The sequence below is a fragment of the Homo sapiens genome, chromosome 19 (assembly GCF_000001405.40).
Source record: "Homo sapiens chromosome 19, GRCh38.p14 Primary Assembly".
Lineage (NCBI taxonomy): Eukaryota > Metazoa > Chordata > Mammalia > Primates > Hominidae > Homo > Homo sapiens.
This window is the reverse complement of record NC_000019.10, coordinates 18,219,049-18,242,746: the sequence shown is the minus strand read 5'-3', so window position 1 is coordinate 18,242,746 and position 23,698 is coordinate 18,219,049. Positions and strand designations below refer to the sequence as shown.

Here is a 23,698-nt window from a genome sequence, read left to right as displayed (position 1 = left end):
GTGGTGCGATCTTGGCTCACTGAAACCTCCACCTCCCTGGTTCAAGCAATTCCCTTACGTCAGCCTCCCAAGTAGCTGGGATTACTGCCCCATGCCACCATGCCTGGCTATTTTTTTTTGTATTTTTAGTAGAGACAGGGTGTCACCATGCTGGCCAGGTTGGTCTTGAACTCCTGAACTCAGGCAATCTGCCCACCTCAGCCTCCCAAAATGCTGGGATTACAGGTGTGAGCCACTGTGCCTGGCTTTTTTTTTTTTTTTTTTTTTTTTTGAGATGGAGTCTCCCTTTGTTGCCCAGGCCAGAGTGCAACAGTGCAACCTCGGCTTACTGCAGCCTCCGCCTCTCGGGCATAAACAATTATCTTCCCTCAGCCTACCGAGTAGCTGGGCTTACAGGCACACAACACCACACCCAGGTAATTTTTGTATTTTTATAGAGACAAGGGTTTCACTATGTTGGCCAGGCTGGTCTTGAATTACTGACCTCAGGTGATCTGCCTGCCTCGGCCTCCCAAAGTGCTGGGATTACAGGCGTGAGCCACAGTGCCTGGCTTACCAATTCCCATTTCTTAAACCTACCAACTTGTTGCCACCTCCGGGCCTTCGCAGGTGCTGTTCCTTCTGCCTGGTATGCTGTTCCCCTATCTTTCTCCTGGCCAGCTCTTTCTCCTCTTTCAGGCCTCGGCTCAAAGCCACCTCCTCAGAAAATTCCCTAACTCACCCCAGCAATGTGATCCACTCCCTCATTCCCAGACCCTTGTCCAGTTTTCTTTTCTTCCTAACACGAGGTGAATTATTTTTTTGCATTTGTTCAATGAATACGTGAACAAATAGGAATGTGTGCAGGGAGTTCTCCCATCTGGAACCTTGTTTTCCCAGCAGGAAAATGGGCAGACAAGCCCAGCGCCATGGCTCAAGCCTGGAATCCCAGCACTTTGGGAGGCTGAGGTTTGTGGATCGCTTGAGCCCAGGATTTCAAGACCAGCCTGGGCAGCATAGTGAGATCCTGTCTCTACAAAAAATACAAAAATTAGCTGGGAGTTGTGGTGTGTGACTGTAGTCTCAGCTACCTGGGAGGCTGTGGTGGGAGGATCCTTGAGCTTAGGAGGTCGAGGCTGCAGTGAGTTAAGACTGCACCACTGCACGCTCCAGCCTGGGTGACAGAGAAAGACCCTGTCTTGGCCGGGCGCGGTGGCTCACGCCTGTAATCCCAGCACTTTGGGAGGCCGAGGCGGGCAGATCATGAGGTCAGGAGATCGAGACCATCCCAGCTAACACGGTGAGACCCCGTCTCTACTAAAAATACAAAAAAATTAGCCGGGCATGGTGGCGGGTGCCTGTAATCCCGGCTACTTGGGAAGCTGAGGCCGGAGAATGGTGTGAAACTAGGAGGCGGAGCTTGCAGTGAGCCGAGATCGCGCCACTGCACTCCAGCCTGGGCGACAGAGCGAGACTCCATCTCAAAAAAAAAAAAAAAAAAAAAAAAAAAAACAAGAGAAGAAAAAAGAAAGAAAGAAAAGAAAAAAGAAAATGAGCAGCTGACATCTCAGGGGCCTCCCATCTGGGAGATGCTAACTGTCCCCACACACCCCACCCTCTTCATTCCCGACACACCCTCCCAGCTACCAGGAACTCTCCCGAGGGAGGCCTCTTGTAGAGCACTTGCATTTCTGCCTTAAATTTCAGGTGCCCCTGGGAAAGGGTGGGGACAAGTTGTGCTCAAATGCGGGGAACAGTCCTAGAAGGATGAGATCTGAGCGTGGCTCAAGCCCCCAGCTGTGTGACTCCCAGCAAGCAGGTCATTTTCTCTCCAAGCTTTGATGTCTTCCTCCACAACACGAGTCAGAGGGCCCTCCACTCATAGGCAAGGAAATGAGCTATGTTGCATCCCTTACACACACAGAAGTTCAAGTTCAACTCACATCCGTTCTCCGCACCCTCTTCCTCCCACCCCACTTTGCCCTGGCTCTGGTCCTGATTAGCAGCATGGTCTTGGACCTCAGTTTCCCCATTTTTTTTTGAGACGTAGTCTCGCTCTGTTGCCAGGCTGGAGTGCAGTGGCATGATCTCGGCTCACTGCAACCTCTGCCTCCCAGGTTCAAGCGATTCTCCTGCCTCAGCCTGCTGAGTAGCTGGGACTACAGGTGCGCACCACCAGGCACAGCTAACTTTTTTGTATTTTCAGTACAGATGGGGTTTCAGCATGTTGGCCGGGCTGGTCTCGATCTCTTGATCTTGTGATCCATCCACCTCGGCTTCCCAAAGTGCTGGGATTATAGGCATGAGCCACCGTGCCCAGCCCCGTTTTTTTTTTTTTTTTTGACAGAGTTTCCCTCTGTAAGCCGGGCTGAAGAGCAGTGGCACAATCATAGCTCACTGCAGTCTCAACCTCCTGGGCTCAAACAATCCTCCTGCCTCAGCCTCCTTGGGAGCTGAAACTACAGGCACATGTACCACCACACCTGGCTAATTTATAAAATGTTTTGTAGCGACGGGGTGCCCAGGCTGGTTTTGAACTCACTTTTGGCCTCAACCTCCCAAAGTGCTGGGACTACAGACATGAGCCACCATGCCTGGCAGTTTCCCAGCTTTTTTATTTTTATTTTTACTTTTTTATTTTTTGAGATGGGGACTATGTGTCTGTAGTCCCAGCTACTCGGGAGGCTGAGGCAGGAGAATCACTTGAACCCAGGAGGCAGAGGTTGCAGTGAGCAGAGACCACACCATTGCACTCCAGCCTGAGTGCTGTTGCCCAGATCTGTTGCCCAGATCTTTCCACTGCAACCTCTACCCCCTGGGTTCAAGCAATTCTGCTTCCTCAGCGTCCCAAGTAGCTGGGATTACAGGTGCAAAGCGCCATGCTCGGCTAATTTTTGTATTTTTAGTAGAGACAGGGTTTTGCCATGTTGGTCAGGCTGGTCTCAAACTCCTGACCCTAAGCGATCCGCCTGCCTCAGCCTCCCAAAGTGCTGGGATTACAGGCGTGAGCCACCGCGCCTGGCCAGTTTCCCAGTTTTAATGCTCAGTCTGGTGGTGGAGATAGGCTCATTGGTGAGGCTCAGGAGGACAGTAGGGGAAGACTGGGCCATCTCTTTGAACCCCACCTCTCCCATCTCCACATTTGTCTTCACTGATCGCCTTACCCCAAAGCTGTGAGTTCCAGTTTTGTGCCCCATTCTGGGGTCAGCACCGCGGACAGCACACAGCCTGTGTCTGGCGCACGTGGGTCCCATTGTTTTATCATCAACACCTCTGAGGGATCCGTACCCCTTTCGCCTCCATTTCCCAGATGGGCAAACTGAGGCCGCTTGCCCTGGACCACGTGGCCTGGATTGAACCCAGATCTGTTGCGCTGAAGAGCTCACACTCCCAACGCATCCGTTCAGACTGATTCTGCCTGTTCTTAAAATGTATCCAGCATTTACCCAGAGCCTGCTTGGAAACAGCATCTCATTTAGTTTCTCCCATTCAGTCCTTCCTTCAAGGAACTCGGCACTGAAGCTCAGAATTGCTTTTATTTATGAATTGCAACCTTGGGCTCTAGTTACTTAACCTCTGAGCCTTCATTTCCTCCTTTGTTAAATGGAAATAATGGTGCTAAATGGCTTCATTATACCTTCATGAGCCCATCCATGTACTATTGGAACGGCATTTATACAGGGTGATTGTGCAGAAAATGTTAGCCATTAGTACTATCGTTATTATTCATTTGCTTATTTACTGCATGTTTTATTGTTTTACTTTTTTTTTTTTTTTGAGACAGGGTCTTGCTCTGTCACCCAGGCTGGAGTGCAGTGGTGTGGTCTCCACTCACTGCAGCCTCCGCCTCCCGGGTTCAAGTGATTCTCCTGCCTCAGCCTCCTGAGTAGCTGGGACTACAGGCGTGTGCCACCACACCTGGCTAATTTTCGTATTTTTAGTAGAGATGGGGTTTCCCTATGTTGGCCAGGCTGGTGTCGAATTCCTGACCTTGTGATCCACCTGCCTTGGCCTCCCAAAGTATTGGGATTACAGGCATGAGCCATTGTGCTGGGCCCTACTTTTATATTTTAATAAATAATATATTGGAATCTCAAATGTAAGAAAAAATATACAATAGAATATCACTATGGTGCATAGCATTATAATAAATAGCATTATATAGCATATAATATGTTATAAAAATAAACATACTGTTTTATTTATTTTTATTTTTAGAGACAGGGTCTCGGCCGGGCGCAGTGGCTCACACCTGTAATTCCCACACTTTGGGAGGCCAAGGTGGGCAGATCACTTGAGGTCAGGAGTTCGAGACCAGCCTGGCCAACGTGGTGAAAACCCCTCTCTACTAAAAATACCAAAAAATTAGCCAGGCGTGGTGGTGGGCACCTGTAATCCCAGCTACTCAGGAGGCTGAGGCAGGAGAATCACTTGAACCTGGGAGATGGAAGTTGCAGTAAGGCGAGATTGTGCCACTGCACTCCGATGTGGTTGAAAGAGCGAGACTCCATCTCGAAAAAAAAAAAAAAGAGAGAGAGAGAGATACAGGGGGTCTCACTCTGTCACCCAAGCTAAAGTACAGTGGCATGATCTTGGCTCACTACAGCCTTGACCTTCTGGGCTGAAGCAGTCCTCCCACCTCAGCCTCCTGAGTAGCTGGGGTTACAGGCATACACCACGATGCCTGGCTAATTTTGTTTATTTTTTGTAGAGCTAGTGTCTCACTATTTTACTCAGGCTGGTCTAGAACTCCTGGGGTCAAACCACCCTTTCAAAGTGTTGGGATTATGGGCATGAGCCACCGTGCCCTACTGAGCATGCTATTATTAGTTAATAAATAAATATTTCTGCAATGTGTACTGTGGACCAGGCACTTTTTTTTTTTTTTTTTTTTTGAGATGGAGTCTCGCTCTGTCACTCAGGCTGGAGTGCAGTGGCCCGATCTCAGCTCACTGCAAGCTCCACCTCCCGGGTTCACACTATTCTCCTGCCTCAGCCTCTTGAGTAGTTGGGACTACAGGCGCCCGCCACCACGCCCGGCTAATTTTTTTGTATTTTTAGTCGAGACAGGGTCTCACCATGTTAGCCAGGATGGTATTGATCTCCTGACCTCGTGATCCGCCTGCCTCAGCCTCCCAAAGTGCTGGGATTACAGGCGTGAGCCACTGGGCCTGGCTGGACCAGGCACTATTTATTTATTTATATTTTTTATTTTTGAGATGGAATTTCACTCTTGTTGCCCAGGCTGGAGTGCAATGGCATAATCTCGGCTCACTGCAACCTCCGCCTCCCAGGTTCAAGCGATTCTTCTGCTTCAGCCTCCCGAGTAGCTGGAATTACAGGCATGCACCACCACGCCTGGCTAATGTTGTATTTTTAGTAGAGGTGGGGTTTCTCCATGTTGGTCAGGCTGGTCTCAAACTCCCGACCTCAGGTGATCCTCCCGCCTTGGCCTCCCAAAGTGCTGGGATTACAGGCACGAGCCACAGCGCCTGGCCTGGACCAGGCACTATTTATATCCCCCCACGTTTGAGATCCCTACTTCACAGATGAGGAAACTGAGGCTCAGAGAGGTAAATTCACTCAGGAGAGTAGGACTGAGATACAGCTCTCTGGGCCAGTCCAGGTGTCTGGGTGAGGGCACTTCAGGGTCCTAGAGAGGTCCCATGACCAAGAACTTGCTCATGTCTTTCTGGTTTCTTCCAGTGGTTCTGGGAGTTGGTGGATTCTGGCTTGGCCCCTGTGAGCCCCCTTGGTGGTGGTATCATCCGGAGAGGCTTCTCGGGTACCCCATTGCTGCCATCGCTGCCGAGCCGCCTTGTGTTGCCTGGAGAGGTCGAGCCCAGTACCCATGTGGTGTTCACCATTGAGGCTTAAGGGACAGAGAAAAGACAGCGTGGTCCCAGATAGGTGAGAAGGCTGATGGGGATTAAAGGGGCCGGCCCCAGGAGAGGAAGAGCAGTTCGTCCATCTGAACCCTTCTTGACCTTATCCAGAAAGCATTTATTAAGTTAGCACCCACTGTGTGCCAGGCCCTGTACTTGGCACACAGTGGGCACACAGCCATGCACAAGGAGGTGCCCACAGGCTGATGGTGGAGACAGATCATACCAGGCAGAGACAGGACAAAGTAATCATGCTGTGATGGAGAAGAACAGAGGAGCCCAGAGGAGGCTCCTGACCTCACATCGAGGGGGCTCAGGGAGGACTACCTGGAAGAAGTGGCATTTAAACTTAACCTGAGGGCCTGGTTGTGGTGGCTGATGCCTGTAATCCCAGCACTTTGGGAGGCTGAGGCCGGTCCATCACTTGAGATCGGGAGTTCGAGACCAGCCTGGTCAACATGGTGAAACCCTGTCTCTAGTAAAAATACAAAAATTAGTTGTGGGGTGCACCTGTAGTCCCAGCTACTCAGGAGCAGAATTGTTTGAACCTGGGAGGTGGAGGTTGCAGTGAGCCGAGGTTGCACCACTGCACTCCAACCTGGGTGACAGAGCAAGACACCATCTTAAAAAAATAAAAACAGGCCGGGTGCAGTGGCTCACTCCTGTAATCCCAGCACTTTGGGAGGCCAAGGTGGGTGGATCACGAGGTCAGGAGATCGAGACCATCCTGGCTAACATGGTGAAACTCCGTCTCTACTAAAAATACAAAAAAATTAGCCAGGCGTAGTGGCGGGTGCCTGTAGTCCCAGCTACTCAGGAGGCTGAGGCAGGAGAATGGCGTGAACCCGGGAGGCAGAGCTTGCAGTGAGCTGAGATCACACCACTGCACTCCAGCCTGGGCGACTCCATCTAAAAACAAAACAAAACAAACAAACAAACAAAAAACAGTAAAACAAATCCTTAGCCTGAGGGATGAAGAGAAGTCAACCAGTGGGAGTGCGGGGAAGGGCATTCCAAGCAGAAGGAACAGAATGTATAAAGCCTCAGACTCAAGAGGATCAGGTGTGTCAGGAGCTGAAAACAGATCAGTGTGGCTGGAGGGTGGGAGGGGAGCCCCGGGAAGTAGGCAGGAGCTGAAACCACACACCAGACCTCATGGGGTGCCCTGGAGAGTGAGAGGTGTGTCTTCCGGAGAGAGAGTTGGTCAATATTGGCATTAAAAAATTCCCTGTGGTTGCTGTTGTGGAGCACTGACTGTCAGGGATAGGAGTGGAAGGAGACCAAGGAGACTAGGAAGGAGGCTTGGGCAGTGTCTGGGCAGGAGATACTGGTGCTTGGACCAGGGTGGGAGCCATGGGCTGGAGAGAAGTGAGGAGCTTTGGATGACATTTACAAAGTAGACACAACACCAGGGCTGGGCATGGTGGCTCACGCCTGTAATCCCAGCACTTTTGGAGGCCAAGACGGGTGGATCACCTGAGGTCAGGAGATCGAGTCCAGCCTGGACAACATGGTGAAACTGCGTCTCTACTAAAAATACAAAAATTAGCTGGGTGTGGTGGCGGGTGCTTGTAATCCCAGCTACTTGGGAGACTGAGGCAGGATAATCACTTGAACCTGGGAGGCAGAGGTCGCAGTGAGCCAAGATCGCACCATTACACTCCAGCCTGGGTAACACAGTGAGACTCCGTCTCAAACAAACAAACAAACTAGACACACCAGTTGTTGGTGGATGCTAGCAGGAGCTGGGGAGAGGGGGCACTGGTATGCACAGCTCCTGGTCTCAGACCCTTTACATCTGGCATCACTTTTAGTCCTTGCAATGATGCCAAGAGTTGGAGACACCATTATTATTCCTCTTTTCCAGAATATTTTAAAAAAAGACTTTGGGAGGGGAAGTGACAGAGCCAGCCAGTGACCATGTCCCTCACCATTGAGCCAAGTTGTCTCCCACAGTCAGTTCTTGGGAGTGGTGGGGGGGTGGAGAACAGGGACTGAACCACCCAAGCATAGAACAGAGAGGGAGTCATTTGTCATGCGTCACACAGCAAGACATGATGGTACTGGGGCTTGAATTCAGTCTGTCTGACATCCTGGCCCAAATGTTTTCCTTTTCTCCAACCTGGGGACATGGCTGGGGTCACTGGGAGATGGTCTCCATGGGAAAGACCTTGTTGAGTGCTTCTGAGACTTCCAAAAACATCGGGGCTCTTCTCAAATCTGATGCAGCAAGAGGCACCCTAATGGCCTTAAATGCCTCCCTGCCCAAGCCCAGAGCCCACAGGAGGCCTCCACCAAGTCATGACCCTGGGAGTACAAAATCTCACCTCTTTCTGCACCACACTCACCCGCCCAGCCCTGCTGCTGTTCATGCCTACTTCAGTTAACCATGATGGAAAATGTTCTTACCCATCCTTGCACTTCCCAGGAAATTACCCCTGAGACTAAGACGCCTGGTGGGTGGAGACTTGAGTTTCCAGAACTGGGAGGGAGGGGCAGGCCTGGGGTTTGAGGGCAGGAATCGTGGCTGTGAGGTGGGGCCTGGGCCTTTCTCAGGGCGAATGAGATCCTGCCATTTCCGCTGAGGGTCTGTGTGTTGGTGTGGCTTTAAAAGCACGAGAGTCTCAGAGATACTCCTCCTGCCTGTCCTGAGCTTCCACAAAAGGTGGGTTTTCTGCCAGTCCTCCCCCAACTCAGCTGCAGCATGGCTTTGGGGTGGGGAGGGTCTTAGAAGCAGAACTAGGATGTTTCTTAGAGAGACCTGACTTCCCCTCTTTGCCCATCCCTACTGGTAGCTGTTTGGAGCTCTGGCCAGAGGTAGCCTCTGTGTGCCCATCCCAGACATGGGAGCCCCCTCACAGCCTTGCCAATTTCCCTGTCCTTCTCATATCCCTGCCTGGCATGGGTGGGGGTTTTAGGGCTCCAAAGAGACCCCTTCTGGGGCTGAACCGCGGAGCCTACCTTCCTGGGCTTGGCAGAAAGACTGCTATCTGTACGTACCTCCGAAGACCAGAACCTTGACTGCTTCCAGACTCCTTGTTGCCATTGTTGCTGGGGAAGGTTGAGGGCCCGTCACTGCTCATGTTTCAGCACCTCCTGGGCGGATGACGCCCTGGTCTGGGGGTGCACCTGAACCCCGGTCTCCCTCCCCTGCCTTCAGCACCATCAGGTCGCGGACAGCTCTTCGCTGTCTCATCCACCCGGAGAACCCAAAGCTACCTTTTTCTCTTTCAACACGGTGCGAGGGACACCGTCTCGGCCCCGGGGGTCTCCTGAGACCCTGTCTCCCTGCCCTCCATTTAGCAGCGATCAGTGGACAATTTCTGTCTTCTCCACTCCAAGTCCTTGTCTTGGTTCTTTTCCATGCAGCGCTATAGGGGACGGCAGACGGTTTTCGGGGCTGGTGTGTTGGGGGGGGGTCTCTTCAGCCCCTAGCTTCAACACCCCCTCACCACGTTCTTCTCCCCTGTTCTACCCTTCAGCACCATCTGGGCATCGACAGCTCCTCGGTGTCGGCCCCACCTTGAGCCCCAGTTCCACCTTCTACCGCTTCAGCACCTCCGGCGCGGACAGCTCCTCGCTGTCGCCTCCACTCCCGGCCCTGGGCCGGACCCGGGAGCAGACGCTCCTCGGCGCCCGCTCACGGGGACGAGTCCTGCTCCCTGCTATCCCAGACCCCTTTCTCTGGCGCATGGAGAACCTGGGGGTCGGCGAAGGGGCAGAGGCTTGCAGCAGGTTGAGTCGCTCTCGCGGCCGCCACAGCATGACCAGAGCCCCGAAGCACCTGTGGCGGCAACCCCGGCGCCCCATCCGCATCCAACAGCGCTTCTATTCGGATCCGGACAAGTCCGCGGGCTGCCGCGAGAGGGACCTGAGCCCGCGGCCGGAGCTCAGGAAGTCGCGGCTCTCCTGGCCCGTTTCCTCCTGCAGGCGGTAGGTGGCCGGGGCAGGGGCCTCCTGCAGCGCGGGGGAGGGGCGCGCGGGGCCTGGCGGGAGTGGGGGAGGGTCCTTGCTTCTCCAGGGGGCGGGGGTCTCTGCTGCTTGGTTGAGGCTGGCGCCTGGAAGGAAAAAGCTATTTCTACGTAGGGGTGGAGCTGAGGGTGCTGGTGTCATCATGGCTTGTGGGTCTGTGTGACCGGGTGTGCCCACGTGCGGTTGGGACTGAAAGAGTGTGTGTGTGTGTGCGCGCGCGCGCGTGAGACTGGGGTGACCAGATGTGTTTGGGGTGCTCCTGTACGTTCATGCTTGGGTATGATTCCATGTGTCCCAGGTAGTTGTGGGTGTGCCTGTGTGTCTCCCCTTGTGGTGCCTGTAGGTATGTGGCTGAGTGTGACTGTCCTTGTGCTAACATAGCTGGGGGTCCGAAGGTTTTCGGGGTTGTGGAATGTCCGCAGGCCTGTGGGGGAAGTTTGTGACCAGCTCAAGCACCCGAGGTAACCCTGGGGTGCTTGGATATAAATACACACACACACGCACACACACACACACACACACACACACACACACACGTTTTTATTTTTGAGACAGAGTCTCATTCTGTTGCCCAGGTACAAGTGCAGTGTCTCGATCATGGCTCACTGCATCCTCTGCCTCCCAGGCTCAAGCGATCCTCCCACCTCAGTCTCGAGTAGCTGGGACTACAGGGGCATATCACAAGGCCTGGCTAATTTTTGTATTTTTGCTAGAGACGGGGTTTTGCCATGTTACCCAGGCTGGTCTTGAACTCTTGGCCTCAAGTAATCCTCCCGCCTTAGTCTCTCAAAGTACTAGGATTACATGTGTGAGCCACAGCACCTGGCCTATTTAATATATTATAGATATATAAGGGCCAGGGCAGGCTGCCTCCAGTGTTGGGGGGAGGAGTCTTCTCTTGCTACCTCCCCCGCCCCCACTCCCTCACCCCACCCTGCTCCCCTGTAGGAGGAAGGGAAGTCCCTTGGGAAGCTCGTGCACAGGAAGTTTCTTTCACTTAAGTAAGGAGGGGCTGCTTCTCCTGTTTCGTGTAAGTTGAGTGGGGTGGGGTTAGGACAGAGACAGAAGAGACTCATAGAAAGATAATGTAGAATCCTCAGGGGGCCCTACATGAGGGTCTCCAACTACCAGGTGGAGGCTCCAGGGCCAGGAAGGAGGGTCCAGGAACTCCAAGCCCTCCTTAGGTTGGAGGGAGAACCAAGTCAGCTGGACCAGCATCCCAGATTTCAGTCCAGGCTGAGTGGCCTTGGATGGGTTACTTCCCTGCTCTGGAGCTTGGCTTTCTTGCGTCCTGGTGCATGGACCCCCTAGGGGCCACTGGCTTCTGACTCCATCAGCAAGCCTGGCCTCTCGCCCCCAGCCTGGCCCTCCAGCAGCCTGGGAGGCATCTGGGGTAGATGGTTCCCACAGCCCAGAGGGGTTGGAGCTGTTCTCAGGTGACCCAGGAGCCCCTTCTCCCGCCCCGGCTTCTAGTTCCTCCTTCCCCATCCCTTCTGGTGACTCATGATTTTCCATTTTCAAGAAAGAACAAACAGAGCCTTGGTATGAGCTCTTCTAGGGGAAGCCCCCGCTTGGCTCTGGGAGGCAGGAGCGGTGGATTGGGTGTCCCTGTGCACGTGTGTGTGCACACACACGTCGTTCTGCGCATCGTATGCGCTGCAGTCACACATACGTGGATGAGCATGCATGTGGCCCACTGTGCTTCTCTGTGCTGATATGAGGGTAGGGGTTCACCCCAGGGGGAAGCCCAGCGAAACTGAGTTCAAGGCCAGGCCCCAAGGCCAACCTGCTGTGTGGTATTGAGCAAGCCGTGGTGCCTCCCGGAGCCTCGGCGTCCTCATCAGAGAGGTGAATATTCTGTGCCTGAGCCTGGTACACACTGGGTCCCCAGCTTGTGGCTCTTTACTCAGCCCTAGAAACTGTTGGGGGAATGTGCTTCCCCACAGCCCCAGATGGATCACAGGGGTATGGGAGGGTCTAAGCATTTTGTTGAGAAGGCATTTAAGCACCTACTGGGTGGCAGGCCCTGTGTTGGAGACGCAACCATGGATAAGAAGCTGTGTCCCCTAAGGCTGATGGTGGAGACACTCATACCAGGTGGAGAAGGCACAGGTTGATAGGGAAAGGTCAGAGAACAAGCCCAGAGGAGGCTCCAGACCCAGCAGTGGGGTGGGAGTCAGGGAGGACTGCTTGGGAGAAGTGACATTTAAGCTTAGCCTGCAGGAGGAAAGAGGTCAGCTAGGGTGAGTGCAAGAAGGGTATTCTAAGTAGAAGGAACAGAATGTGCAAAGCCTCAGACTCAAGAGGATCAGGCATGTGAGGAGCTGAAAATGGATCAGTGTGGCTTGAGGATGGAAGGAGAGGCTCTCTGTTTATGCTACAAGCATTTATTTATTTATTATTTTTTAGATGGAGTCTCTCACTCTGTTGCCCAGGCCGGGTGCAGTGGCACAATCTTGTCTCACTGCAACCTCTGCCTCCTGGGTTCAAGCGATTCCCCTACCTCAGCCTCCCCAGTAGCTGGGATTACAGGTGCCCACCACCATGCCTGGCTAATATTTGTATTTTTAGTAGAGACAGTTTTGCCATGTTGGCCAGACTGGTCTCAAACTCTTGACCTCAAGTGATCCACATACCGTGGCCTCCCAGAGTGCTGGGATTGCAGGCATGAGCCACCACACCCAGCCGCTACAAGCATTTATTGAGCATCTACTAAGTGCCAAGTACTGAGGGAACAGCAGGGAACATGGCAGACCTGGCCTTGCTCTCCAGGGACTCACAGGCAAATAATCATGACAATAAATGTGAAGTTGTATCCATGGCTGGAGGGTGCTCTGAGGCATTTACCTGGCTAGTCAGGGAGGGCTTCTCGGAGGAGGTGACTCTAACTGTAACCCAAAAGACAAAGCATCAGCAGGCGACAAGCATTCAGGTGAGGGCCATGGGGTGGAAATAAGCCTGGCTGATTCAGAGAACAGTGAGGAGTGGGGAGAGACTGGAACAGTGTAAGCCAAGAGAAGTGAGGTGGGGATGGGCCACATGGGACCTCTGGGAGGTGTGAATTCAGATCTGAGGGCAATGGGGGGCCATGGGAGGGTCTGCAGCAAAGGAGTGTGTGATTTGACCCATGCGAACATCTACACATGTGACCTGGCCCCCACCCTGCTCATTCTGCTTGACTCCTCCGTGGGGACTTGGGCAAGTCATCTCCCCTCTCCACGTCTCAGTTTACTCATCTGTAAAATGGTCAAAAACACCCATTTAAAAAAATCTCTCTGGGGCCACCTGGTGGCAGTGGAGAAAAGTGCCTGCCCAGAGAAGGGAACATTCAAATGAGGGAAACTGAGGCAGTGCTGTGCTAAAGGCATCAGAATGGGCGCAGTGGCTCACACCTGTAATCCCAGTACTTTGGGAGACTGAGGCAGACGGATCACCTGAGGTCAGGAGTTCAAGACCAGCCTGGCCAACATGGTGAAACCCCGTCTCTACTAAAAATACCAAAATTAGTTGGGCGTGGTGGCAGATGCCTGTAATCCCAGCTACTTGGGAGGTTGAGGCAGGAGAATCACTTGAACCCAGGAGGCAGAGGTTGCAGTGAGCCAAGATTGCGCCACTGCACTCCACCCTGGGCGACAGAGTGAAACTGTGTCTCAAAAAAGTAAGGCCAGGGACAGTGGCTCACGCCTGTAATCCCAGCACTTTGGGAGGCTGAGGCAGGTGATCACCTGAAGTCAGGAGTTCGAGACCAGCCTGACCAATATAGTGAAACCTCGTCTCTACTAAATACAAAAAAAAAAAAAAAAAAAAATTAGCTTGGCATGGTGGCACATGCCTGTAATCCCAGCTACTTGGGAGGCTGAGGCAGGAGAATTGCTTGAACCCAGGAAGCGGAGGTTTCAGTGAGCCGAGATTGTGCCATTGCACTCCAGCCTGGGCAACAGGAGCAAAACTCTGTTCTCAAAAAATAATAATAATATGTAAATAAAATAAAATAAAATAAATAAAGGCACCAGAGACTACTGGGCACCTCTACAGGAGATGCAGTAATGCAGGGATGGAGTCAGGGTAGGGGTGCTTCTGTCCAAACCTCTTTCAGCTTTTGTCCCTTACCCAGCGGGGCTTGGAGAGCCTCCCAGGGCCTGGTAGGAGCCAGGCTGTGAATGCTGAGTCCTGGCTCTGTGGCCACCCCTTGCTGTGACTCTTTCTCCATCCGAACAGCTATTAATTAACACCTTCCTGTTAGAACTGTTAATAAAATATTTAAAATTAAATATATGGATGAAACATTAATAGTAAACCTATTGATAAAATATTAATGTGAGACTCGCCCCTGGGACTACAGAGGGGATGAAATGAGTTAACGCATCCAGTGCGGGAGGACCCAGGCTGGGAAGAACACTACCTGTCCGGGTTCAAATGACCCCAGTCTTGCACCTTATGGCTGTGTGTCCTTAGGCAAATGACTGTGCCTTTCTGTGCCTCAGTAGCCCCATCCTCGAAATGGGAATAGTAGTCCACACTTTGTAGGTTTCGTCTGAAAATCCAATGACTTTTCCCTTCACTGCTGTTGGCTGAGTGCTGCATGTTTTTGAAGCACTCAGTTTACATAATTTTGTTTAGTCTTAGCCTCCTATTTTATGTCTGTGATTTTGGGGGAGGGGCTGAATCTCTGTGCCTCGGTTTCTCCTTGGGGACATGTAACTATTGTCACTTCTCTCACAGTGGCGGGGAGGTGGTGTCAAGACTGCTGAGACCTTGGCTCCAGTGTCCCCACAAGGCCAATCCTAGCAGCATGTGTCCCCTAGGGATGGCTATAATTAGGTCTGGCCCCAGCAGACAACGATGGTATTTTTGTCTTGGGGACAGCGAGGTCTGGTTCCCGCCAGGTGTCTGGTTGCAAGACTGCGGGGGTTAGGGGGGCTTCCTGGCCAGATACCTGAGGCTCTCTGTTTTTCTGGGCTGTGTGACTCCTCCTCTGAGCCTCTGTTTTCTCATCTGTAGAATGGGGAGACTCTCATGTATCTGGCCTTAGCATGGTTGCCTCAGGATCTCCTGTGGGATCCCTGATCAATGGGCTTCTCCAGGACTGCCAGAAACATGGGTACCATGTCTGGGGACACCAAGACTGAGGCAGCCGCCCCGGGGGGAAGGCCCAGGCTGAGAGACAGAGGTCATTCCACAGCAAGGGGCACGGTCAGGCCTCAGTTGCTGGGAGGTCCCCTGGGCCTCTGCCTGTGACATGGCTGTTTCTAGGTCCCTCCTCCTTGTGTGACACATGCTAAGCCTTGGTTTCCTTTTCTGTAAAGTGGAACAAGGCCAGCCTGACTCCAGCATTCTGAGGGTAGAGCACCTGGTACAGACTCTGGGAATCCTCCCAGACACCAGAGGCCCCCCCCAGTCCTGGGACAGTGAGGTCCCTCTGATGGCAGGGGTGGGCGGCTGAGGTTTCGCAGGACAGAAGACTTGGCAGAGGTGATGTGCGGATGTTTGTCTAGGAGGAGACAGCAGGAGAGGTGAAGGCATCCAGAGACAGGGCCTGGGGAATGTCAGAGCAGGTGGGGGATCACGTGGGGAGTTGCGTGGAGGGGTGCTGGGAGAGGGGGCCCTGAGTTTGGGTCTCGCTTTCTGCAACAAAGACCCATGCCCGTGACCGCGTCCATGGAAGCCTCAGTTTCCCCACTTGGCAAAGGATTAAGGGTTTGTAGTTTCTGGTGCGCTGTTTGATGGCACTAGGCCTCAGTTTCTCCATCTGGAAAATGGGCAGAGGAGGATTAGAAACATTGCGTGGGATCGGACATTGGCAAACTCTATACCTCGGTGATGCCCTCAATAATGGAAGGCAAGACAGCTGTTTCTCTGGGCACCTTGCTTTCTGACTCCCTCATTCTACACTTTTTAGCAGTTATTGGCCCAGCAAGCTGCACTAACCAGGGACGTGCCGAGGAAGGCTGAGTAAGATCCAGGCTCTGAGATCTTAGGGGCAGCCCTCTAAAGAAGTACAGTTGGGCCTGGCGCAATGGCTCACACCTATAATCCCAGCACTTTGCGAGGCTGAGGCAGGAGGATCACTTGAGTCTGGGAGTTCGAGATCAGCCTGGGCAACATAAAGAGACACCCCCATCTCTCCAGAAAATACATTAGCCCGGGCGTGGTGGTGTGCATCTGTAGTCCCAGCTACTTGGGAGGCTGAGGTAGGAGGATCCCTTGAGCCCAGGAAGTTGAGGCTGCAATGAGCTAGGACTGTGCCACTGCACTCCAGCCTGGGCAACACAGCGAGATCGTCTCAAAAAAAAAAAAAAAAAAAAGGAGCAGAGAGTTGCGTCTGACTCTGTGCCTCAGTTTCCCCGTTTGTCCCGGGGGTCGTCAGGGAGCCGCCGGCCTCGAGGCGGGGCCGATGCGCCCTTTGCCCCCTCCCCGCTGGGCCCCGCCCCCGCAGCTGTCCAGAAAAGGTCCCGCGCAGCCGGCGCTCGGTCCAGCCTCCACGCAGTCCTGGCGATGCAGGGCCCCCCCGCGCCCGCCCCGGTCCCCGGGCCCGGCTCCCCTCGGGGATCCCCGCGCGGCTCCCCCGGGCTCTTCAGGAAGCTTTTGGTGAATCAGAGCATCCGCCTGCAGCGGCGCTTCACGGTGGCCCATCCGCTGTGGTGAGGCTGGACAGAGGGCCTGGCGGGGTCACCGGGACGCCCGGTGTGGAGGTGGGAAGGGCAGGGACAGGGACAAGGCCAGGGACAGCTGGGGCCGGGGCCGGAGTCCGGGCTTGGACGCTCTGCCTCTCCCTCGCTTTCTCTGTATCTCTCTCCCTCTACCCTACCTTACCCTACTTTTGTCTCGCAGTTGGTGACTCTGTCTCTCTCTGTCTCCGTCTGTCTCCACCCGCCGCCTGGATATAGGCCCAGGGGACCAGCCGTCTGTCTCCTTCCAGCTGTGAGGCCCAGAGTGGGACGGGCTGAGGCTCACGTCTCCTCCTGACCCTCGCCGGCCTGGGGCAGGCAGGCTGTGCGTCCTGGCAGTGGGAGGAGGGGGAAGGGGCACTCCTTCCCTTGGTGCCCCCTCCCACCAGCATCCTGTCCCAGTGCCAGCAAAGAGATGCCCTGGGGGCCTCACAATGAACTCTGGGTGTCCACGGAGGAAGACCTGAATTGAGGGGGTTTTCGAGGCAGGGCGTTCGGGAGTCCCAGGCTGAGCGCGCGCCTGCGCCCGGCAGCTGCTTGCGCTGCATCCTCTAAGCACTCGGTCCACCCCTCTGGGTTCGAATCCCTGCCTTTCCAGAAACGACTGTGACCTCGTGGGGAGGGATGGGGGCAAGGCTGGGGTTCGGAGTGGGGCTTGTGGGCGCCGACTGTGGCTGGCATCCTGCGCTTGGTCCGCGCCGAATTGGCACCCACTTGGTAAGTCTGGCACCCAAAGGCTGAGAGGGGAGGTCCCTCTCCAAGGTCATAGCTGGGGTTGGAGGGAGAAGGTATGACCGTGGTTCCTGGTGGTTCCATTTCAACCAGGGAGTGGGAGAGTGGGGGTTCCGTGTCCTGGAGAGCGACCTCGGGGCACCAAACACTAGCGAAGCACATTCCCTTTTGAAGGCGCTAGAGACAGCGCAGGGACGTCGAGGGCGCGTCGCGGGTACTCAGAAGTGAGGATGAACGAGGGCCGGCCCCGCGCAGGCCAGACCCGAACCCAAGTCCGAGCCTCCCTGGCTCAGTTTACCCCCCTGGCCAATGGGCAGCCGCGCCGTTCCCACAGCCGGGGGGCTCTACCCCCGCACCGCCCGCGTCATGGAACCACAGCCTGACCCCGCCGCTCCCGGCTAAGTTTAGAGCAGAAAGAAAAACAGCCTCCCCCGCCCCAAGAAAACCCGGGCCCAGTCCTTAACCCTCCGCGCCCGGGATCCGGATTTGCACGCCCTGTGGCCGCTCCTGGCCTCAGTTTCCCTATTTGTCCACAGACGCGCTTTTCTGGAACCCTTGGGGAGAGCCGAGAGAGGGGTAGGGGGTCGCGATCCGCATGCCTCCCCCTCGAGGGGCAGATCTGGGTTATCCGCCGCCTCCAGTCCGCCCCTAAGAGCGTCTCCCATTGCACCACAGCGCCCACGGCGCACCCCAGACGGGCCAGGGAAGGGTTAAGAAGCCCCGCCCCTTCGGCTGGCCGTGGGGTTCATCCCGGTGCTGCTAAACCCGCTGGAGTCGGACGGAACAGGCCGAGCGCGGCCGGTCTTAGTCGGAGATGCCCGAACTAGCCCTCATGTAGCCGGACGTGACCGAACATGCCCGACCCGGCCCGAGCGTCACCCGGACTTGTTCGAAGCAGACCGAGCGTAACCGGACTTAGGCGAACAAGCTCGAACTTATCCGAAGTCTCCCGAGCTCAATCGGACGTAGCCGAATTCTCCCGAACTCATCGAACAAACTCTTCGTGACCAAGTCCAATTCGACGTGATCAGACCCAACTCAGACCCGGTCATACTTGGACCGAATGCTGCCAAATCCCCCACCTCTACCCAGATCTGAGCCTACGCGGGGTGCCGACCCAGCTCGTGGACGGGGATACGGTGACCTTTGACCCAAAAGTCTTGGCCGGGACCAGCCGGACACTGGCCCTCGGCCGGGAGCTCCGAGTCTCAGGCGGTCCCGGTTGTCTTCCTGTCGGTGCCGCTTCCGCCTGCCCTTCTTGAAAACCCACCCCCAGGTCACCGCCTTCTCTAGCGCCCCAGTTCTTGCCCTACGCCCTTTCTCTGACCTCTGACCCCAAAGAGGAGGAGCCAGAGGGAAAGACAGGGTTTGAGGGTAGAACGGGACAGGTAGTGTGGAGAGGGAGGAGGGTGGGCCGGGCAGAAAGCACGGCCTGTGCAAAGACCCGGAGGTGGAAGATAACAGGCGGAACGTTCAGGCTGAAGATGAAGTGGAGGAGTGGGGGAGCCTAGGGCAGGACCCGGCTAGCTGGGGGCGTGGTCGGCGGCCGTGGGGCGGAGCCTTATGGGCTGAGGGTGGAGCCTGGAACGCTGGGGGCGTGGCAGGTAGCCAAGGGTGTGAGCAAGTTGGCTAGGAGTGGGGTCTCTCTAGACTAAGGCGCACGCAGGAGCTAGGCAGAACCCCGGCCTCCTCCAGGTAGAAGAGCCCAAGAAGCTGTTTCCAGTCCACGTGTCCACCATGTGAGCTAGATCTCAGTTTGTCCCTTTGCAATATGGTCATCCAGTCGCAGTCTTTGGATGTTCGGTTGTAACCCCCTCAAAGAGCTCTCGGGGATGGGCTACATCACGCACATGTTAGAAACAGGAGAGGCCGGGTGCGGTGGCTCATGCCTGTAATCCCAGTACTTTGGTAGGCCGAGGCGGGCAGATCACGAGGTCAGGAGTTCAAGAGCAGCCTGGCCAACACGGTGAAACCCTGTCTCTAGTAAAAATACAAAACTTTGGCCGGGCACGGTGGCTCACGCCTGTAATCCCAGCACTTTGGGAGGCCAAGGCGGGCGGATCACCTGAGGTCGGGAGTTCAAGACCAGCCTGACCAACATGGAGAAACCCCGTCTCTACTAAAAATACAAAATTAGCTGGGCGTGGTGGCACACGCCTGTAATCCCAGCTCCTTGGGAGGCTGAGGCAGGAGAATTGCTTGAACCTGGGAGGCGGAGGTTGCGGTGAGCTGAGATTGTGCCATTGCACTCCAGCTTGGGCAACAAGAGTGAAACTCTGTCTCAAAAAAAAAAAAAAAAAATTAGCCGGGCGTGGTGGTGCGCACCTGTAATCCCAGCTACTTGGGAGGCTGAGGCGAGAAAATTGCTTGAACCCGGGAGGTGGAGGTTGCAGTGAGCCGAGATCGTTCCCCCACTGCACTCCAGCATGGATAACTGCACTCCAGTGCAGGCAACAGAGCAATATTTCGTCTCAAAAAAACCCCAAAAAACAGAAAAAAAAGAAATGGGGAGGCCGGGTGCGGTGGCTCACTCCTGTAATCCCAGCACTTTGGGAGGCGGAGCTGGGAGGATTGTTTGAGGCCAGGAGTTCAAGACCAGCCTGGGCAAAATAGTGAGACCTGGTCTCTACAAAAAATTTTAAAATTAGCCGAGTGTTGGGGCATGCTCCTGTAGTCTCAGCTACTCAGGAGGCTGAGGCTGGAGGATGGCTTGAGCTTAGGAGATTGAGGCTGCAGTGAGGTAGGATCACACCACTGCACTGCAGCCTGGGTGACAAAGTGGGGCCCTGTCAAAAAAAAAAAAAAAAAAAGAAAAGAAAGGGCGAGAGAGAGAGAGAGAGAGAGAGAGAGAGAAAGAACGAGAAAGAAAAAAAAAAAAGAAAGAGAGAAAAAAAATAAAAGAAATAGGGTGATTGAGGTCCAGAGAAAGTCAGTACCTGTCCATGGCCACATAGCCACTTTGAGGAAGATCTGGAACTGAGGTCCTGGAGTCCAGTGTAGACTCAAAGACCAAAGTGTGAGGGGTGCAGGGTTCCTGAGGGTGTAGCTGGGGGCAGGTGAACAAGCTGGAAACCACACTTGCCTGACTGCCAAGCAGCCCCAGGGAGGACGCACCAGACAAGGTGGCCACGACCCGGCACCCAGTTGTCATGACCCTCGTCTCTGACCATGCCGTCTCTCCTTTCAGCTTTGACCTGGAAAATGGGCTCTCGTGTGGGAGGAGGGCCCTGGACCCTCAGTCCAGCCCTGGCCTGGGCCGGATTATGCAGGCTCCAGTCCCGCACAGCCAGCGGCGCGAGTCCTTCCTGTACCGCTCAGATAGCGACTATGAACTCTCGCCCAAGGCCATGTCTCGGAACTCCTCTGTGGCCAGCGACCTGTGAGTCTGGGGCTGGTGGGATGACACCGCCTCTACCCTCCCTCCTTCCTTTGTTCCTCTATTCAGCAAGCTCCTTCAAATAGCCATTTAAGGAAGGTTTTGAAGTTTAAGTAGGAGTTTGCCAGACAGCTCATATATTCAATCAAGTGTGTAGAGAACTTGGCCTTTTGCTGGAGTAGGGGTGGTAATCCAAAAACATTAAGGTCGGCCGGGCACGGTGGCTCACGCCTGTAATCTCAACACTTTGGGAGGCCGAGGTGGGCGGATCACCTGAGGTCAGGTGTTCAGGACCAGCCTGGCCAACATGGTGAAACCCTGTCACTACTAAAAAATACAAAAATTAGCCAGGTGTGGTGGCGCGCGCCTGTAGTCCCAGCTACTCAGGAGGCTGAGGCACGAGAATCGCTTGAACCCAGGAGGCGGAGGTTGTAGTGAGCCGAGATGGCACCACTGCACTCCAGCCTGGGCGAAAGAGCAAGAGTCTGCCTCAGAAAACAAACAAACAAACAAACAAACAAACAAACCATTAAGGCCAATTAGCAGCAAATGAAGAAATACTTTGATTTGAGCTTCCTAGTAGGCATAATGAAAAGGGAAATATCTACGTACCCCTAGGACTCAGTTTCCCCATTTATGAGATGCCGATAAAGTGAGTGAATGGTTGGAGGGGCTGTGCTGGGTCTCAGGGAGAGTCGCATGAGGGGACCCCAGGGACTAAGAAGGAGCCTGGAGGAGAAGTCCTGAGAGCAGGACCCCCTCAGTTGAGGGCATATGGTGTGGGTAAAAAGCTGGAAGATGGGAGAGAGCTCTCCCTGATGGCCCGTCTCCTCGCAGACATGGAGAGGACATGATTGTGACGCCCTTTGCCCAGGTGGGTGTCCCCCGCCCTCCCTGCCCTGACCCCCTCCGGATCCGGCCTCTCCTTCCCACCGCCTACCACCTCCTCCCAACAGGTCCTGGCCAGTCTGCGGACCGTTCGGAGCAACGTGGCGGCCCTTGCCCGCCAGCAATGCCTAGGAGCAGCCAAGTAGGTAGAGGGCGGGGCGGGGCGGGGGCGGGGCCGGCAGAGACAAGGTGGGCGGAAAGCGGGCTGCAAATTGAGGCTGGGGCTCCGGCGCCTCCAGGTGGGTTTGAGGGGCGGGGCCTGGTGGACTTGGGGGCGGGGCGAGATGGGCGGAGCAGCCACGCCTGAGGCTGCTGTACCGCAGGCAGGGACCCGTCGGAAACCCTTCATCCAGCAATCAGCTCCCTCCTGCAGGTAAAGTACCTGTTCCTTCCCTCCCCCGCTGAGGACAGCTGGGAGCTTCCTTTCCATAGTGACCTCCCCAGTCCATGAGCCCCTTATACTGGGGCTAATTGTAGCCCCGCCCCTGCAAAAACAATAACGCCCTCGGGGATGGACCCCACCACACTCATATTACAGATGAGGAGGCTGAGGCCCAGAGATCTCATGGTCACACAGGCACTCGGGGAACAGATCTGGAACTTGGGTCCAGGAGTCCTGGGTGGCCCCCGTGGGAACAGTTTCAGGGTCCAGATGAAGAGACGAAGTCGCGAGAGGCGTGGGGTCCCTGAGCGGGGGGGTTGGGCAGGCCCCTGACTGCCTCGGCTCCCAGAGGACACGGGGCAGAAGCTGGCATTGGAGACGCTAGACGAGCTGGACTGGTGCCTGGATCAGTTGGAGACGCTGCAGACCCGGCACTCGGTGGGGGAGATGGCCTCCAACAAGGTGAGGTGGGGCAGATCGCTGAGCTCACCTGCCTCGGCCCACGGTGCCCCATCATCACGGTCTTCACCTTCTCTCCGCCCCAGTTCAAGCGGATCCTGAACCGGGAGTTGACCCACCTGTCCGAAACCAGCCGCTCCGGGAACCAGGTGTCCGAGTACATCTCCCGGACCTTCCTGGGTGAGCTTTGTTGAGTCACTGCCTGGACGACATTTTAGGAGTACTAAGAAACAAAAGAAAGATTCCTATGATAGACCTCAGTCTGGGGGAGATACAGCCAGACACAGACACCTTCAGCCCCCATGAGTCAGGGCTGGATCAGAGGGAGGAACAAGGGGAACTTCCAGGAGCAGGGGACATTAAAGCTACGGTTTTGAAGCATGAGTAGAAATTTGCCTAGGAGGAGATGGAGGGAACCAGACACTAGCTTGGGAGACGGAAAGGACATTAGGCTGTTTGGGGGAAAATGCTGAGCCCCAGGCACCCAGGGGCCAAGCCTAGCAGAAGGGTTTACTGAGATCAGCTGTGAACAGAGGAGAGGGGTAGGTAGCTACAGGCAAGACAGGATCTTTTTTTTTTTTTTGATACAGAGTTTCACTTTGTTGCCTAGGCGGGAGTGCAGTGGTGCAATCTCAGCCACTGCAACCTCCGCCTCCTGGGTTCAAGCAATTCTCCCACCTCAGCCTCCTGAGTAGCTGGGGTTACAGGTGCCTGCCACCATACGTGACTAATTTTTGTATTTTTAGTAGCGATGGGGTTTCACCGTATTGCTCAGACTGGTCTCGAACTCCTGACCTCAAGTGATCTGCCCACCTCGACCTCCCAAAGCACTGGGATTACAGGCGTGAGCCACTGCGTCCGGCCGACAGGGTCTTTACTCCGAACTTACTTTGGTTCCTGTAGAAAGGGAAATAGGTTGATTCTGGGGTTTGGCAAAATTCAGGTCCTGAGGCCAGGCCCCAGCAGGTGAAATCGGCTTCTCTGAGCTTCACCCTGGCCCATCCGCAGACCAGCAGACCGAGGTGGAGCTGCCCAAGGTGACCGCTGAGGAGGCCCCACAGCCCATGTCCCGGATCAGTGGCCTACATGGGCTCTGCCACAGTGCCAGCCTCTCCTCAGCCACTGTCCCACGCTTTGGGGTCCAGACTGACCAGGAGGAGCAACTGGCCAAGGTGGGTCCCCAACCACAATGCCAAGATCAAGGTTTGGTCCCTGGCTCTGTCTGGATGCCCTATCTCGGGCCTGTTTGCCCACCTATATACTGGGCAGTTGGGGCTCACTGTGGAACCTGGGGTGGGAGGATGGAGGCTCTAGAGTCTGGGGAAGTTGGGCTGGGGTTAATTAAGCTTCAGCCCTT

General features: G+C 54.9%; 1 protein-coding gene across 7 annotated transcripts in view, besides 5 other annotated features; it reads left to right on the top strand.

Annotated features, from left to right (window-relative positions):
• The window catches only part of PDE4C (phosphodiesterase 4C), a 47,398-nt gene that overhangs the window by 12,616 nt on the left and 11,084 nt on the right, over positions 1–23,698 (top strand). Inside the window, exons 4-12 of one of the 7 annotated variants that reach the window (NM_001414480.1) lie at positions 5,686–5,889; positions 9,347–9,797; positions 20,424–20,615; positions 21,450–21,486; positions 21,569–21,642; positions 21,824–21,873; positions 22,232–22,344; positions 22,428–22,521; positions 23,350–23,513. In NM_001414480.1, the coding sequence (NP_001401409.1) occupies positions 9,556–9,797; positions 20,424–20,615; positions 21,450–21,486; positions 21,569–21,642; positions 21,824–21,873; positions 22,232–22,344; positions 22,428–22,521; positions 23,350–23,513 (966 nt within the window). In that variant the 5' untranslated portion in view covers positions 5,686–5,889; positions 9,347–9,555. Of the gene's footprint in view, positions 1–5,685; positions 5,890–8,500; positions 8,530–9,346; positions 9,798–16,308; positions 17,222–18,253; positions 18,513–20,423; positions 20,616–21,449; positions 21,487–21,568; positions 21,643–21,823; positions 21,874–22,231; positions 22,345–22,427; positions 22,522–23,349; positions 23,514–23,698 lie in introns of those variants that run through there. The other 6 variants (NM_001330172.2, NM_000923.6, NM_001098818.4 and 3 more) reach the window with 6 other exon arrangements.
• Positions 10,505–11,196: an enhancer, noted in NCBI's record as "H3K27ac-H3K4me1 hESC enhancer chr19:18342361-18343052 (GRCh37/hg19 assembly coordinates)". NCBI's record gives its function as "activates a minimal SCP1, AML or CMV promoter by ChIP-STARR-seq in naive H9 embryonic stem cells {active_cell/tissue: H9 hESC(naive)}" and the evidence as "EXISTENCE:reporter gene assay evidence [ECO:0000049][PMID:30033119]".
• Positions 16,366–16,425: a silencer, noted in NCBI's record as "silent region_10381". NCBI's record gives its function as "represses an Ori minimal core promoter by ATAC-STARR-seq in GM12878 lymphoblastoid cells {active_cell/tissue: GM12878}" and the evidence as "EXISTENCE:reporter gene assay evidence [ECO:0000049][PMID:35858748]".
• Positions 17,962–18,201: an enhancer, noted in NCBI's record as "active region_14307". NCBI's record gives its function as "activates an Ori minimal core promoter by ATAC-STARR-seq in GM12878 lymphoblastoid cells {active_cell/tissue: GM12878}" and the evidence as "EXISTENCE:reporter gene assay evidence [ECO:0000049][PMID:35858748]".
• Positions 18,812–18,881: a silencer, noted in NCBI's record as "silent region_10380". NCBI's record gives its function as "represses an Ori minimal core promoter by ATAC-STARR-seq in GM12878 lymphoblastoid cells {active_cell/tissue: GM12878}" and the evidence as "EXISTENCE:reporter gene assay evidence [ECO:0000049][PMID:35858748]".
• Positions 22,259–23,458: an enhancer, noted in NCBI's record as "BRD4-independent group 4 enhancer chr19:18330099-18331298 (GRCh37/hg19 assembly coordinates)". NCBI's record gives its function as "activates an origin of replication core promoter dependent on BRD2, P300/CBP, MED14 and CDK7 cofactors, and independent of BRD4, by STARR-seq in HCT116 cells {active_cell/tissue: HCT116}" and the evidence as "EXISTENCE:reporter gene assay evidence [ECO:0000049][PMID:35650434]".